Here is a 15,853-nt window from a genome sequence, read left to right on the forward strand (position 1 = left end):
CAAGCTAAAGGACCTTGGGCAAGTTACTTAACCTTTGTGAGCCTCAGTTTCCTCAACTGTAAAATGGAGTTGCTCTGTGAATTAAATGAAGATGGAGTATATAAAGTACTTAACGGAGTGTCTGGCTTAGAGAAGATACTTAGTATTAGCTAAAAATCTATAAAAGTAATAATAGCAACCTGAAACAACTCTCCAGCTAAATTCACACATTCTGCTAACGGATAGCCCTGGAGAATTGGGCCCTTAACAATGGTTCCTGGCAATACTGGTGGGTAAAACATATGATTAACCGTCTAGGGCCTGTGAGGACATCAACCTGTTCTCTCTGGCTTGGAGTAAGGCCCGAATAGTGGTGTTTTTGTGCCCAGGGCAAGTTCCTTTGACAATTCTCTTGCCTACTGAGGAAGCAATTTTTTTCCGTCAGGTTTCTTTAGGTCAGCAGCAGGATGGACTGCTCCCTCACGTCTACTCTTGTTAGGATATCTCCCAGAGGCGGCATCTCTCCTTCTGCTAGACACTGTAGGGGAGGAAAAAGAATCCTTTCCTTTACCCAGCTTAGGCTTTGCAGCTGGGGCCCTGTACATTAGAGTGGCTAAAGGCAGATTCACAAGAGAAAAGAAATAGAAGTTTATTAATATGTGCATTGCACGTGTACACATGAGACCATCCTACGATGTGTAACCCAAAGGGGCAGTTAGAACTTGGGTTTATATAAATCATCTTAGGCTAAAGAAAAAGGGATTTGGGCTTCTGAGTGGGGGAGGCAAGTTATGGGAAGGTAAGGAGGAAAAATATGGTAAATAGGGGTTGTTTAATGAGGTTTGTTATGCAGATTTAAGTTTAAGAGTAAGGTGCCTTCCCCACTGATAACAGGTGTTAAGAGTCCTTCTCTTCCTGGTACAGGGAGCGGGAGATACCTTTTACAAATGTAAATTTCCTTTATAAAAGAAGAACTGTCCTTGCCTCTGCTGGTTCTCAATGGCCTTTAGCTCAAAATAATCCTTATGCCAAAAAGGCACATTTTGCAGGGAAATATTTTGGTGCCTCTCAACAGCCAGGGCCTGGTCAACTCTCTGGAGCTGTTCCTCACTCTTGCAAGCCTTTCTGACCCATTGGGCACCTAAGTCATTGTCCTGCTTTCTCCTGTGGTTCATTCTCAGAGCAGTGCTGTGTTGAGAAAACACAGTCCAACAATCATCCAGAGGGAGTACTGAGCTGTGCTCATAGCATAACTGCCATGCACACCCAGTTCCCCTCTCTTCTGGGGTTTCCCTTCACTCTGATTCTGCTCCAGGGCCTCCCTCCTCAATCCCCTTCAGAAACTCTTTCTTCACCCCTTCTCTGCCCACGTTTCTCTTCTCCCCTCCCCTTCTCTTTCTTCTCTCCTTAGCCTTCCTGACCTGAATATGAAATTGCATATGCTGGCCTGAATTGTGCCCCTTTTCTAATTTCTCTAGGTCTGCCAGATTCTCTCCCATTTTGCAGATGGTTTAACCAAAGTCCAAAGAAGAGAACAAGCAAGATGAGGTTTTTTCAGAGTGTGGGTTGGGGATGGGGGGCAGCCTATGAGGTTCCAGACCAAAGGTGGTCTGCACAAGGGGATGGGAGGAGGGGCAGGTGAGGCTGTAAACACAGACACTTCCATGAAGTGTTAAAATTCTCAATTATTTTTTTTCATATCCAGACACTTCATGTGAGTCCTCTGCTCTCTGCCCTCCCTGTAAGTGGGCGAACAGAGAGGGGAGGCCCCTCACTGTATGAACAGAAGACTGGTCCCAGGAAAACATGCCGTTAGGCACTTTTGAATTTCTGAAAACAAAACAACCCCAAAGAGGTGTGTATATAAAGGTTTTGCTAAGCTTGCTAAAACAAAATGAGGAAGGCTGCCAGTGAAAAAGACATTATATTCCAAGTGAGGAAAGTCTTGTCTGGAAACTGTAAAGAGGGCCTGTGTGCATCTCAGTGACTTCTCCTCTGCAGGCCATGGGTGGCCGCAATGCAAATTCAGACCTGGGATTGGTTTCTGTTCAAAAGCAGATGAGTCTTGTTTACTTTAGAGGTATGTGCCTTACAGATTTTTATTTACTTAAAAAAATCTATCTATCTATCTATCTATCTATCTATCTATCTATCTATCTGTCTATCTTTCTACCAGATTTACATATATATATATAAAACTACCAGATTTACATATCTATCTATCTATCTATCTATCTATCTATCTATCTATCTATCTATCTATCTATTTTTTAGATGGAGTTTCCACTCTTGCTGCCCAGGCCAGAGTGCAATGGCATAATCTCAGCTCACTGCAACCTCCGCCTCCCGGGTTTAAGTGATTCTCCTGCCTCAGCCTCCTGAGTAGCTGGGATTACAGGCACCTGCCACCATGCCTGGCTAATTTTTTTTATTTTTTAGTAGAGATGAGGTTTCACCATGCTGGCCAGGCTGGTCTCAAACTCCTGACCTCAAGTAATCCACCCACCTTGGCCTCCCAAAGTGCTGGGATTATAGGCGTGAACCACCGCGCCCAGCCCCTACTTAAAAATATATTTTATACCACTTTAATATTTGTTTTTCTTCTACTCTTGATTTTATTTTTTGTCTTTTATCTATTTTTTTGTTTTATTGTGGTAAGAACACTTAACATGGTAACTGTTCTCTTAATAGATTTTTAAGCGCACAATACAGTACTATCATCTCTAGGCACAACGTTACACAACAGATCCCTAGGATTTATTCATCTTGCATAATTTAAATTTTAAACCAGTTGAACATCAGCTCCCTATTTCCCTCCCCTTCTCCCAGTTACTGGCAACCACCATTCTACTCTCTGCTTCTGTGAGTTTGACTACTTAGATGGCTCATGTAAGTGGAATCCGGCAGTATTCGTCCTTCTGTGACTGGCTTATTTCACTTAGCATAATGTCCTCAAGATCCATCCATGTCATTGCATGTTCAGAGTGCCCTTTGTTTTAAAGGCTGAATAGTATTCCACTGTGTATGCAGAGACCACATTTTCTTGATCCATTAATCTGTTGATGAACGTTTCCACCTCTTGGCTGTTGCGAAGAATGCCTCCATGAACACAGGAGTGCACATATCTCTTTGAGATCCTCAATTCTTTTGGATAAATACCCAGAAGTGGGATTGCTGGATCATCTGGTAGTTTAATTTTTCATTTTTGGAGGAACCTCCATACTGTTTTCCGTAGCAGCTATACCACTTTGCCTTTCCACCAACAGTGCACAAAGGTTCCAGTTTCTCCACATCCTGTTTGTTGTCTTCTGCTTTTTCGATAGTGAGCATTCTAACTGGTGTGAGGTGATATCTCGTCGTGGTTCTTACACTTTATTTTAAATGAAACATAATCTTGCCAATTGTGGTTTTTGCCCACCACGGTGGTTTTTCAGTTGGCAAGCTGGATTCAGTTGGATTACAATTTGTGCTTTAGTTCTTCTCAAAGGTTTAATGGGACTCCTAACTTATTTAGGTTAAAAAAAAGTGTTTTAGATGTACAAGTCCCTGCTATGCGAAGCAGAGGCTGAGCTAATATCGGCCCCATGTGGCTTCTGTTCCCCATGGGACTGGACATCAGTCTTAAAGCAAATAACGAACCATACACCAAGGAAAGTGCAATAACAGAGGCGTGAGCAAAGGGCTCGCCTGCTGAGTCAGGTGGAGTGGCTAATCCATTCTGCTGGGCATAGGGGCATGAGATCACACAGGACAGGGAGGGATGAATAAAGTCTAGTATTTACTGAGTCCTCGCTGAGAATGAGGCCCCCAGGATTAATGCCCAGGTCTCAAAGAGTGAAATATACAGCACAGGGGTAGGAGACAGTTCAGGGTCCACTTTTGCCCCCCTGGGTCTCCCCAGCTGGGTGGGTGCTGCCAGAGCCGTTTGCTGATGGTCTATCCCCCAAAGGGAGGGCATTTTTTGCTAGAGAGAGGCTGAAACCCCTCATCTGCTTCTCCTCTACCTTAAGCCTCCACCCCCAGCACATCCAAGAGCTCCCAGCTCAATCAGCCAAGGCTGCTCTCCAGCCCCTTCCAATCCTTAGCCCCACCATCCTCAGGGCTTCTTTGGCTGCCTGGCCCTCAGCACTGTCTCCTCTCCTGGTTAATTCCTATCCTTATCCCCTGGTTCCTCCCCAAGTGGAGTCCTGAGCCCACTCCCCAGGCTACAGCCATCTCCTGCCTCTCAGGAGTCTGTCTGCTGCTGCTCACTTATGTCAATCTTAGCTTCCATCACTTCTCACTCCTGTCCCTAGCCCAGCTTTTTCCTTGCAGAGGGAGTCCCTTCTTTCTGCCTGATACTCCAGGCCAATTCAGCTGCCCCCAGCTACCCTCCTGCCTGCTGCTGTCTCTTAGGATCTGGGTATCCAACCCTAGAGCCCTTCTGCTGCCCTCTAAATCTAGGAGCCACAGGCCTTATTATTATTAACATATAGCTTTTGAATTTATTTTTATTTTTTTCAAATCGACTTCTTTCTCTTAAAAATTTTTGAAGTTGATTAATGGTACAAATATACAGATAGATAGAAGAAATATGACCTGGTGTTCTATAGACCAGTAGGGCAACTGTAGTTAACATTAATCTATTGCACATTTTAAAATAGCTACAAGAGAATAATCAGAATGTTCCTAGCATACAGAAAAGATAAATATTTAAGGTGATGGATATCCCAATTACCCTGATTTGATTATAAGAATGTATTAAATGATCACATGTACCCTGAAGATCTGTACATCTATTATGCAGCAATAAAAAATAAATAAAAAATGAAATTATTGCTAACAATAACAAAAAATCTTTTGACATTGAAAAAAATGATTGGGCCAGGCACAGTGGCTCATGCCTGTAATCCCAGCTTTTAGGGAGGCTGAGTCAAGAGGATTGCTTGAGCCCAAGAATTCAAGACCAGCTTTGACAACATAGCAAGGTCCCTGTTTCTACCAAAATAAATAAATAAATGAATAAAATAAAAAATAAAAATAGTCAGGTGTGGTGGTACATGCATGTGGTCCCAGGACTTGGGAGGCTAAGGTGGGAGGATCACTTGAGCCCAGTTGTTTGAGGTTATGGTGAGCTATGACCACGCCACTGTGCTCCAGCCTGAGTGACAGAGTGAGACCCTGTCACAAAAAGAAAAAAAAAAAGGAAAGAAAAGAAAGAAAAAACAAATGGTTTTCAAAACCACTGAGTAAATAATAATACAGTTGGTAGGTGGAATTAGCGACACTGTGTCAGTGGTACCCTGATGCTGGACATTTATGAAGCCCTGTGTTTCTCATTCAGTCTTCAGCAGCCCCATGAAGCTCAGGTATGTACCGTTCCCATCCCTGTGTGCAAGGTATGACATATCTGGTCAGTCACACACCAGGTTTTGTGATGAATTCCAAAATGTCACATGGCATAATTTAAATAACTGGCTTTAATGGAGAAAAGCTGGGTTTGCAAAAGATGAGAAGGTAGCTATCTCCAGCACTGCCTTATCCCACTGAGTTTGGGTGCAGCCTCTCCCCCAGGAGGATGGGGAAGATGGCCCATTCAAGGTGGTTTGTTGTCTGGGCAACCCTGAATGAGATCCAGGGTCACCTTTGGCAACTGTGCTCAATGAACCATGATCCCCATTTTACAGATGCAGAAACAGGCAAGAGACATTCAATGATTGGCCCAAGCCACACACTAATTCCAGGACCCAAATTCAAAACCAGTCTACTTTATACCCCAAGGAAAAGAGACAATTATATGAGGCAATCAGGAGAGGAAGGGCTCTGCTCTCTGTTTTCAGGGCCCTATTTTCCATCTTAGAGAAGGACCAGAGGAGCCAGCCAGCTCTGCAGTTCTTGGGTCCTTCCCTCTTCCATGTGCTGGCTGCCTCCCAACTCAGGCCATTTTGGTATCGAGGAAGTTCTGAGAGCCACTGCAAGCCCCTCCTCTGTTGATTGCAAAAAAGATTTGGCAGCACTCTTGCCATTCCTAACCCCTGCACCAGAGAATCATTCCCTGGATTAAAGATGACTTCTCCATTCTCCATTTTAAAATGCGTTATAGGGTCAGGCACAGTCACACGCCTGTAACCCCAGCGTTTTGGGAGGCCGAGGCTGGTGGATCACCAGAGGTCAGGAGTTTGAGACCAGTCTGGCCAACATGGTGAAACCCTGTCTCTACTAAAAATACAAAAAATAGCTGAGCGTGGTGGCATGTGCCTGTAATCCCAGCTACTTGGGAGGCTGAGGTAGGGGGATTGCTTGAACCCAGGAGGTGGAGGTTGCAGTGAGCTGAGATCGCACCACTGCACTCCAGCCTGGGCGACAGAGCGAGACTCTGTCTCAAAAAAATAAAAAAATGCGTTATAATCACTGACTGGGGTTCATGACAGAGTTATGTATAGACGTTTTTGAGATCTCTTACATAAGGATCAGGATGAAAATAGGAGCTGTTTCTTTAATTCTTACTACCCAATTTTTAAGAAACACTTTACTATTCTATTCAACTCTTCCCTTTTTCCCCTTTCTCTCTTGCTGGTTCTGAAAAATCAGTGTAGCCCCATAAATATGCAGAAAGTGAAAAGCTGACTTTTCCTATATCTAATAAAAACCTTGGAGAGTAATTGAAGTAATTTAGCATGGGTAGTCAGGTTACATTGCTGCGTAATATCAAAAGAAAGTCCATAGCAAGGAAATACAAGAGAAAATAGGAAGAGGGGCTGGAGAGTAAAACCAGAACATTAAATAATGAGTAACTGAGAAACTAAAAAAATATCTTTTTACTATTACAGTCTTAGAAAAATAGTCGAGGATAGTAATACTAGACAAAGTATACATTTTATGCATTTCTAAGGACTGCAAATTCAAAGAAAAGGAAGAAAATATCCCCTATTCCCCGGCATCTATTCATTAGACAAAAGTCTGACAAAAGCCACGGCCTTCGAGCACATTTTGACACGATTAGGCTCTCTTCCTGTCTCCTGTCTCCCCTTTTATCTTTGCAATCTGAATTTTAAAGGAGTGTTGTCAAGACAGGAGATCGCAAAAGGACAACCATTTACTATCAGGTGTCCTAGTTATACTTTTTGGATTATCTTACTCTGGTCTTTATGATTTTATGAAAGATCACTACATTTATTGTGGGTAGAAAAGTGATGTCGACTTTGCACACCTGGGTGTTGTGAAAGAGAAATGCTGGGTTAGAGTCACAAGTAACAAAGAGCAGCCTGCAGCCTGCATTTCTGGCAGAATCCTATCACTCAGTGTCTTACCCTAACCTCATACCTTTGGCTATGGAACCTTGGACAAGCCCTGTTCTACTCCTAGACTCAGTTTCTGTCGAGTTTTTTAAAGGTTATTTCTGTATACAAATAAAATCATCAGGAAACAGAAAAGCGGAAAAAAATGAAAGCGATCACTCGTAATTTATCAAACATAATGATTTTCTATATTTTCTACCAATCTTTCCTACGTATACCTTTTTTTTCCCTTTCTTTGAAAAATGTGGTAGAAACTAAACTGTATGATTGAATTTTATATCCTGATTTTTCTTTCGGCAGTGTTTTGTCTTTCCAAATAAAAATATATTTGACTTTTAGCCATCATTTTCTAGGGCTGCATGATATTCCTCACAGATGATTTTTTTTTTGTGCTTTGTTTTTTATAATCTTCATTGACAGAGGGTATTTGACAGTGTTGGGGGGCTGTTTCAGTATGTCACTAAAGGAAAAAGAAAGTGCAGCCACACACCTGATGTTCACTTTGTATCTGTGATGAGTCACATGGCCAGATTTGACTGTAACTGTCCATTAACTATTGATAGTGTTCAACTTGCAGAGGGATGAGGCCGATCTCTTTCTGCAGATCATCTGGGATCATAGCCCAATGACTGTATTATCTTTGTTGGTATCTGAGTGGAGTGAGACAACGTGGGTAGAAGTGTCTCCTCTGTAACTTACTATCTGTGTGGCTGAGGAAGAGAGTCTTGGTTTCTCCATGCCTCCATTTCCCCAGCTGCTACGGTGTGAATATTATTTTAATGCCCAATTCTGAGAAGTATATTTTAACGCATTTGGTATTGAGTTGAATGCTGCAATCAATGGGAACATTGTAATTTTTCCTTCCTTTTCCCTCCCTCAACACTCCCTAGAGCTATTACAATCAATAGTATTAGTACTGAAGAAATTTAATAATACTTGCCTTACAATGTCTGTTGTTGAAAGGATTAACAGAAATAAACATAAAGTGTTCTTAGCACTTGGTAAGAGCTCAGTTAATGGCAGCAATTATTTTATTAGTAAAAAAAATCTATATTGTTCTTAGAAGAGGAGAGCATTTATTCTGTATAGAATATTTATTATAAGAAATACATTATTTGTAGGTCACATACTTAGTTTAAACGCTTGTTGCTTGGAAAATTCCTCAACATCTTTTGTTAATTAGAGATAGCACAGGGATGGCAAATAGGTTTAACTTCATGTGCCAAGCCTAATTTGTTGATGATGATTGTCAGACGTGCTGTGTTTCGAGAACTGCTGAGGCAGAATCTGAGCATAGCAGACAAGAGTGCCAAGGCTGATTAGCAATATCTTTCCCAGGCTTAGGAAGACAGAGTGGCAACACATACACTGTTTACCATCTCTGCATTATGGTGTTACAAAACATTCCTTGGCAATTCATTAGGCATTAGCCAGGCCATGGCTTATCAATCAGAAGTTTCATCAGAATCTTGTGGCAATAGACCGCCTCCAGGTCCAAGGTGGAAGATTGAAACCCACACAGGTGAAACTGAAAACTCCAACCCCAGCAGAAACGTGGGAGACTTTGCACCATCAGAGAGGGCAGAGCTTTTGCGATGACCTTAATTTTTCTCAGCTCTTGTTCTGCTAATGCTCATTTAGGTCTTGCCTCCTGAGCCTCAAACATCCTGTGCCTTGGCCTTGCTAGAACTTTGCTGTTGGGTGAATGATCTGCTCTCTTGGTCAACCCCTTGACTGCAGCTTGTTTTTGTTCTCCTTTGCTGTGGGTAAATGGCTTTAAGCACAGGGCCCTTCTTTCAGAAAGGGCAATGGCATTGGAAGGGAGACCGTTCATTTTATTCTGTGATCCTTGTTATCTGAATCTCAGCTTTTGAGGTACTTATGAAATAAACTCAATCATTACAGGAACATTGATGAAGGCTTAAATGGAAAGTTACGTACCATTTCTTGAAATATTCTGGTAGTCCCTGTGATTACAGTGGTTTCTTTTCCATAAGCGAAGGTAAATAGATTTTTCTTTAATTCTGAAACAAATATATATGTATATATTTAAGGTCAGGATACTCACATAAAGAAGTTTAAACAAACCATGTTTACATCACGCTTTTAAAAAAATATGGTTAAAATGAACTCAAAAAATCAAATCTCTGCTGACAAGTTTTCTCTGAACTGTGAATGTAATATTGGCAGTTGTTATGAGAAGCAGTTCTATGAAATTGAGTTGTATGGGTGTCGTAAGAATACTGTTGAAGACATAAAACTTTTTCTTTTGTACAAAGACCTCCAGAGTCATCCCTTTCAAATGCTTTTTACCAAGAGCTGCTGTACATTTCTTGAGCAATTGCTCACCTTTACCGACTCTGTTATTTTGAACCTGATCATGTTGCCTTTCTTTTTTTTTTTTTTTTTGGTTGCTATGAAGCTGTGGTTGACACTATTATTGTCCTTCAGCTTTATTCTCCCTTCATGCACTACAATAGAATTTTTGCTACAATAGAATTTATAGAATTTTTAGCAAGACCCATGTCTGTCCAGAATGAGGATTGCGTTTTCCAGCTTCTCTTGCAGCTAGGAGTGGCACATCACTAAGTTCTGGGTGAGATGAGATGGGATCAGAACTATCCAGTGGCAATTTCTGGTAACGCTTCTTAGGAAATGATTGAATGGTGATTCTGGTTCCTTCTTTGTACCCTTTCTCCAGTCTCCTGCCCAGAATAGGAAAGCTGCCATCTTAAACTATGGGAATAAGGTTGACGTTGAGAAGGCAGAGGGGTGAGCTGGAAGGAGCCTGGATCCCTGAGAACTGGGTGGAGTTGAGCTCCCATATCAATTCCAGACTGCACATTTTCTAAACCTTTCTGTGTGAGAGAAATAAACTCATATATGTTGAATCTCTGTTCCTTGAATCTAATACTAATAAACACAGAGCTTACGGAAAAATTTGACACCAGTATCAGGCTATAATTATATATATTTTAACTCATTTTCTTGGCTCCTTTTTGTCTCATCTTTGATTTTTCATTTTCTTTCGCTTAATATAGATGTAAGTAGTTTAATTAATGCAACAAAATTTAGTTTAAATGTAATTAAATGTTATGTTCTCTAAACTTTCATAGGCTTCCTAAAATCTTTGAAATAAGACCAGATGTAAACTAAAAAATAATAACTTAGCTCAAAATATTTGAGTAATCTTCAAATGTATTGTATCTTCTTTTCATTATAATAAGTTCACATCTCACAACCTTACATACAATCACCAATTATTAAGTGTTATATGAAAGCTTACTAATTGTATTACAGTGCTTGGCAACTGTCTCAGTGCTTCAGAAAGGTAAGCATATATTATGTTTGGGCATTCAGGATGCATAGAAAATAGTATCCCTTTTTTGAAGTCTGAGAAAACCAATGATAGTGTTTTTTAATACAAGACCAAGATGCCTGAGCAATATTTTAAGTGTGAGATTTTTGCTTTGTAGTAGAATTTTGAGATGAATAATGTATTTATTTTTTAAAATCAAAGCTACCCATGCACATAGTTTAAAAAGTAATTTACTTAATAGATGCTTATTGAGCACCTGCTACATTCCAAGTATTATTCTAGGCACTGAGTTATATTGGAAAATTAAAATACATGATCCCTGCTTCTGTGTTGTTGATATTTCAACAGGAAAAGGCCAATAAAAGAACTAAACATTATAAAAAAGCAAATGATAGAGTATGCTAGAAAGTTCTAAATTCTATGAAGAAAGGAAATGAGAATTAGAGTAGCCAAAGGAAGTCTAATTGAGAAGCTAAAATCAACAAAGACTTGAGGTGGTGAGTCTCACAGAACCAAATAACTTACCTATGTGTGTATATAAGACTTGTGATGATAAATAGCAACCCCACACCTCCCTCCACTCTCCATTTTTCCATTTCCATAGGCAACTAATTCCAGCCTTAATTGACTAGGTCTTTTGATGTTTTTCTCCTCATCTCTAAGTAACATACTTTTAAGGCTACTTCTTGATTGTTAGTCTTTGACATTATCTGTTCACTTCCTACTCTAGAAGAGGATTTAGCTATTGACAACTAATCAATGATTGCTTTCTAATTTCTTTCTAACTTTTTTATTTCTGTAGAGTTAATAACTGCCTTTTGTTTCTTTCCTTAATTTTCTAAGTATTTATCATTGTATTAGTCTATTCTCATATTGCTATAAAGGAATACCTGAGACTGGGTAATTTATAAGAAAAGGGGTTTAATTGGCTTATGGTTCTGCAGGGTGTAAAGGAAGCATAGCAGCATCTGTTTCTGGGGAGGTCTCAGGAAGCTTCTAATCATGGCAGAAGGCAAAAGGGGAACAGGCATGTCACATGGAAAAAGCAGAGCAGGAGAACAAGCAAATGTGCTACACACATTTAAATGACAAGATTTCATGAGAACTCACTCCCTATCCTGAGGACAGTACCAACAGGGATGGTGCTTAACCATGTGTGAGAAATCCGCCTCCATGTTTCAATCACCTCAAATTTTTCATAAGCCTAAAACTGCTTAAAAAAAAAATGGCCCTATGTAGCTGAACTGAACTCAGCCTTGCCAGCTGTCCCTTCCCAGGCACATCATGTGAGTGAAGCCATCTTGGATTCTCCAGCCCAGCCCAGCCCAGCCCAGCCATTAGGTGATGTCACTGAGTAACCATAATTTCATATAGAGAGGAATAATTGGCCAGCCAAGCTCTGCTTGAATTCCTGAACCCCGCCCCCCCCAAATTGTGAGATATAATAAAACGACTATTGTTTTAAGCCATGAAAGTTTGGGGCAGTTTGTTATACAACAATAACATAAATCTGTATTAGGTATTAGTCAGGGTTCTCTAGAGGGACAGAACTAATGGAATGAATATATATATATATGGGGGGGTTTTTAGTATTAACTCACACTCTCACAAGGTCCCATAATAGGCTGTAGGCAGGCTGAGGAGCAAGGAGAACCAGTTCAAGTTCCAAAACTGAAGAACTTGGAGTCTGATATTCAAGGGCAGGAAGCATCCAGCATGGGAGAAAGATGTAGCCTGGGAGGCCAGGCCAGTCTCTCTTTGCACATTTTTTCTGCCTGGTTATATTCTAGCCATGCTGGCAGCTGATTAGATTGTGCCCACCCAGATTAAGGTTGGGTCTGCCTTTCCCAGACCACTGACTCAAATGTTAATCTCCTTTGGCAACACCCTCACAGACACACCCAGGATCGATACCTTGTATACTTCAATCCAATCAAGTTGACACTCAGTATTAACCATCACAGTTATGATATTTTTCCCTCACAAGTCTGAAGGAATTGATTGATTTTGGCTTTTAGCCTCCCCAGCATTGTTAAGTATGAAGCAACTCTGTGTCTTGATCTTTTGAAAGCCTATGGTAGCACCTCATTCCAAGTGTTCTGAAATGTTATGATGGCAGTCTTGGTGTGTGTCTGATTTTACTCATAGTGTTAGACCTTTGATAAACCCTTTCAACTTGGAAATTCATGATGTTCAGTTTTGAGAGATGTCCTTAAATTATTTCACTGATGATTTCTTCCTTTCTCTTTTTTCCCTACAACTATTGGGTCATCTGAACCGGTCTTGTAATTTTCCCTGTTTCTCTGTCCTATTTTCATGTCATGGACCTTTTTCTCCATTTTCTGGATAATATCCTCAACTTTATTTTTTAATCTTTCTATGAATGTCGTCTGCTATTACCAGAATAATTTCCAAATGACCTTATTGGTTCTCTGAATATCTTTTTAATTTTAATGTTCTTGTTTTATGAATGTAACATCTTCTTTTATCCTTTTTTGAAGCACTTGTCTGCTATAGAATTCTTTTATCTTTTTGAAGATATTAATTTCAGTTATTTTAATATGTAGGCTATTAAACTTTCTAAAAAGTTTTATCCCCCTTAGTACATAGTCTGTGTTTCTCTAAGTTGCTTTTTTTCCCCTTTGTTTCTGTATTTTCTTTCATGTTTGAGGTTTCCTTCAGATGTGTGATGATCCTGGGTTATAGGCTTATTTTTAAATGTTGAAACTAGTTGCCAGCTAAAAAGCTAATTGATTTTGATTGGAAGCTGGGCCCCTGGCTGTGCTTGTTGACTACAGCCCTCACTGCAAGATGAGCTGTCTGGGCCTTTCTTGGGGAACCCTGCTGTCAGCATCTGTGGGACTCTCCTCTTGGGCTGTTCAGATTCCCCAGGGAAGGATCTTCTAGTCTGCAGCCAGGAGAGTACAGGCTGGGTTGGCAACACTCTGGGGCATGTAGGGAAGGGTCCTCAACATTTAGCATTCATGTGTTTCCGTAGGATACTCCTCTCCTCATTTATGTTTGGTGTCTTCCAGTCCAGAGGCCCTTGACTTTAGTGTTTCCAGAGAATAAAGCTCTAGTCTTATTCCAGAGTATGGGAGGGGCAGTTGACCACCTGTGGAGAGTTGGAAGGGGTCTGAGGAGCTAACTGCTCTTCAGCAATCTTCCAACCAATACTTCTGGTTTAGCCTCACCTGCATTTCTACAGCTCCCACATGTAACCAATCCCCAAGTCTTCTGGGGCTTCTGCAGTGTGAACTGGGTTGCTTCTTGGCATTCCCTCCAACCAGCTTAGGATGCAGCTCTCCTGAATCTACTAAGTCAGTTACCATTCATCTGTCTGATTTCTAGCTTCCAACGTTTTGTGGCTGTTGGCTCTTCTTGTTCTCTTCGTCCTCTTGGACAAATTCATTTACTGTCGTTAGAGTAGGGCTTTTCAAGGGAGAGATGTAAGTGCTTGTGTTCAATCTGCTATCTTACTCAAAAGCCTGAAATGGATACCTTATACACTGCGTCACTTATGCCCTCTGCCTTGAGTATTTTATTATATTTTGGAAAAACAGATGGGAAATGGACACTGGATCTGAGTTTGATACTAAAATAATTTTATGGTCAATAAAGAGGGGTTATTTTTCTTTGGGAAAGTAATTCTTACCTATTTAGTCACAAATGTATTTTTGATCATTCTGAGAATGGAATTTATATACCAAAATATTGTTTTGCTCATGTCCTGCTCATGAAGAGTAAATAGTGTAGGTATTAATATTATAGATACAGTTAGTTGCACCTTTCATTATAAGAATATAGAAATCTTTACCAATAGGAGATAGTTCTAATAACATTTCTGACTAGAAATAGCATCTAGAATTTTGGGATGAAAGCCTTGTACCAAGCACTAGAAAGTATTTCACATAGTAAAAGATACTGCTTTCTTTCATCCCCATCCCGAATCTATAATCTCTCTTATATATTTTAGGAACTGCATTTCTCAAGGAGTGCTCAGAAATCCTGAGTATATAGTGGGATCAATATAATATTTTGATATGCCTGCAAATTGAGAAGATAGCTTAATAGAAAATTATATATATGCAGGGTCTTGAGCTTGTAGTCATAGGACAAGCTGAGGCTACTAGGATGCTATGCATAATGAGGCTAAACTATCATGATGATTCTGGCCTCAAATCCTCTTCCTCTTGCTCTCCTTTCTCCACAAAAATCCAGTGTTCCAGTGTGATCTTTTATTTTTCTCTTTCTGCTCTGTTGTATATATCAAAATCCGGTCCAATGTGCTAGGAGGAGGTGACTGCTTTTGGGCTTGTAAGTTGAGGGATGCACAAGACGGGTACTTAAAAGTTCTTTTCTCCACACTTTGCCCAATGCCTACAGAACTGAATCCTCAACTCCAGGCATAGGCATGGAAGTGAGTCACGTTAACTTTCCAGTTTCACCAGCTCCTTCTACTGGAGGGCCTGGCAGTACAGGCATTTCATGTGAAAACACACTGATTGGGTTTTGATTTCTAGCACCGTAATTCAAAATGAGTAAAACTCAAACAGAATGGCTGTTACTCTTCCCAACATTGGCTCAGGGAACACAAAAAAATCACTTTTTCTGAGAGCTTCCTAATGCCTTCCCCCACTGCATTTCGGTAGAACAAAACAGAGTAATATCAAGAATGGGCCTCAAGAGTAATGTAGACAAATTAAACAGGTTGATTTAAAATGAAATAAAAGATGGCCTCCCATGTTGACTCAAGGCAGAACCTATTTGGAGAGAGGCAAAAATGGAGTTCTTCCAAAGGCTTTGTAGCCTGCCAGAGATCTCTGAGGTAAACCAGATGTGATATGATTCAAGCAAGAGTGATGTAGCATATTCTGATGAAATTTCTTAGTCAGTGTCTTTTTTTTTTTTGAGACAGAGTCTCACTCTGTCACCCAGGCTGGAGTGCAGTGGCATGATCTCGGCTCACTGCAACCTCCACCTCCTGGGTTCAAGCAATTCTCCTGTCCCAGCCTCCTGAGTAGCTGGGATTATAAGCGCATGCCACCATGCCCAGCTAATTTTTGTAATTTTAGTAGAGACAGGGTTTCACCATGTTGGTCAGGCTGGTTTTGAACTCCTGACCTCAGGTGATCCTCTTGTTAGGCAATTTCTGACTCTGTCCAGAGGCACAGCTTGCTTGGGTATAAATTATGAGTCTCCATTAAGTTGAATCTTAGGGAATAAGTTACAAAAAACAGGCTCCAGCAGTAGGGTTGGTGAGAAATACCTGGGGATA

The 15,853-nt window shown here is 40.6% G+C and overlaps 1 protein-coding gene across 16 annotated transcripts in view; it reads right to left on the minus strand.

The window, feature by feature from the left end:
* The window catches only part of AOAH (acyloxyacyl hydrolase), a 211,554-nt gene that overhangs the window by 54,436 nt on the left and 141,265 nt on the right, over positions 1–15,853 (minus strand). For all 16 annotated transcript variants that reach the window (NM_001177507.2, XM_011515334.3, XM_017012102.3 and 13 more), the window contains one exon: positions 9,198–9,280. In NM_001177507.2, the coding sequence (NP_001170978.1) occupies positions 9,198–9,280 (83 nt within the window). The remainder of the gene's footprint in view (positions 1–9,197; positions 9,281–15,853) is intronic.

This window comes from Homo sapiens, chromosome 7, assembly GCF_000001405.40.
Source record: "Homo sapiens chromosome 7, GRCh38.p14 Primary Assembly".
Taxonomy (NCBI): Eukaryota; Metazoa; Chordata; class Mammalia; order Primates; family Hominidae; genus Homo; species Homo sapiens.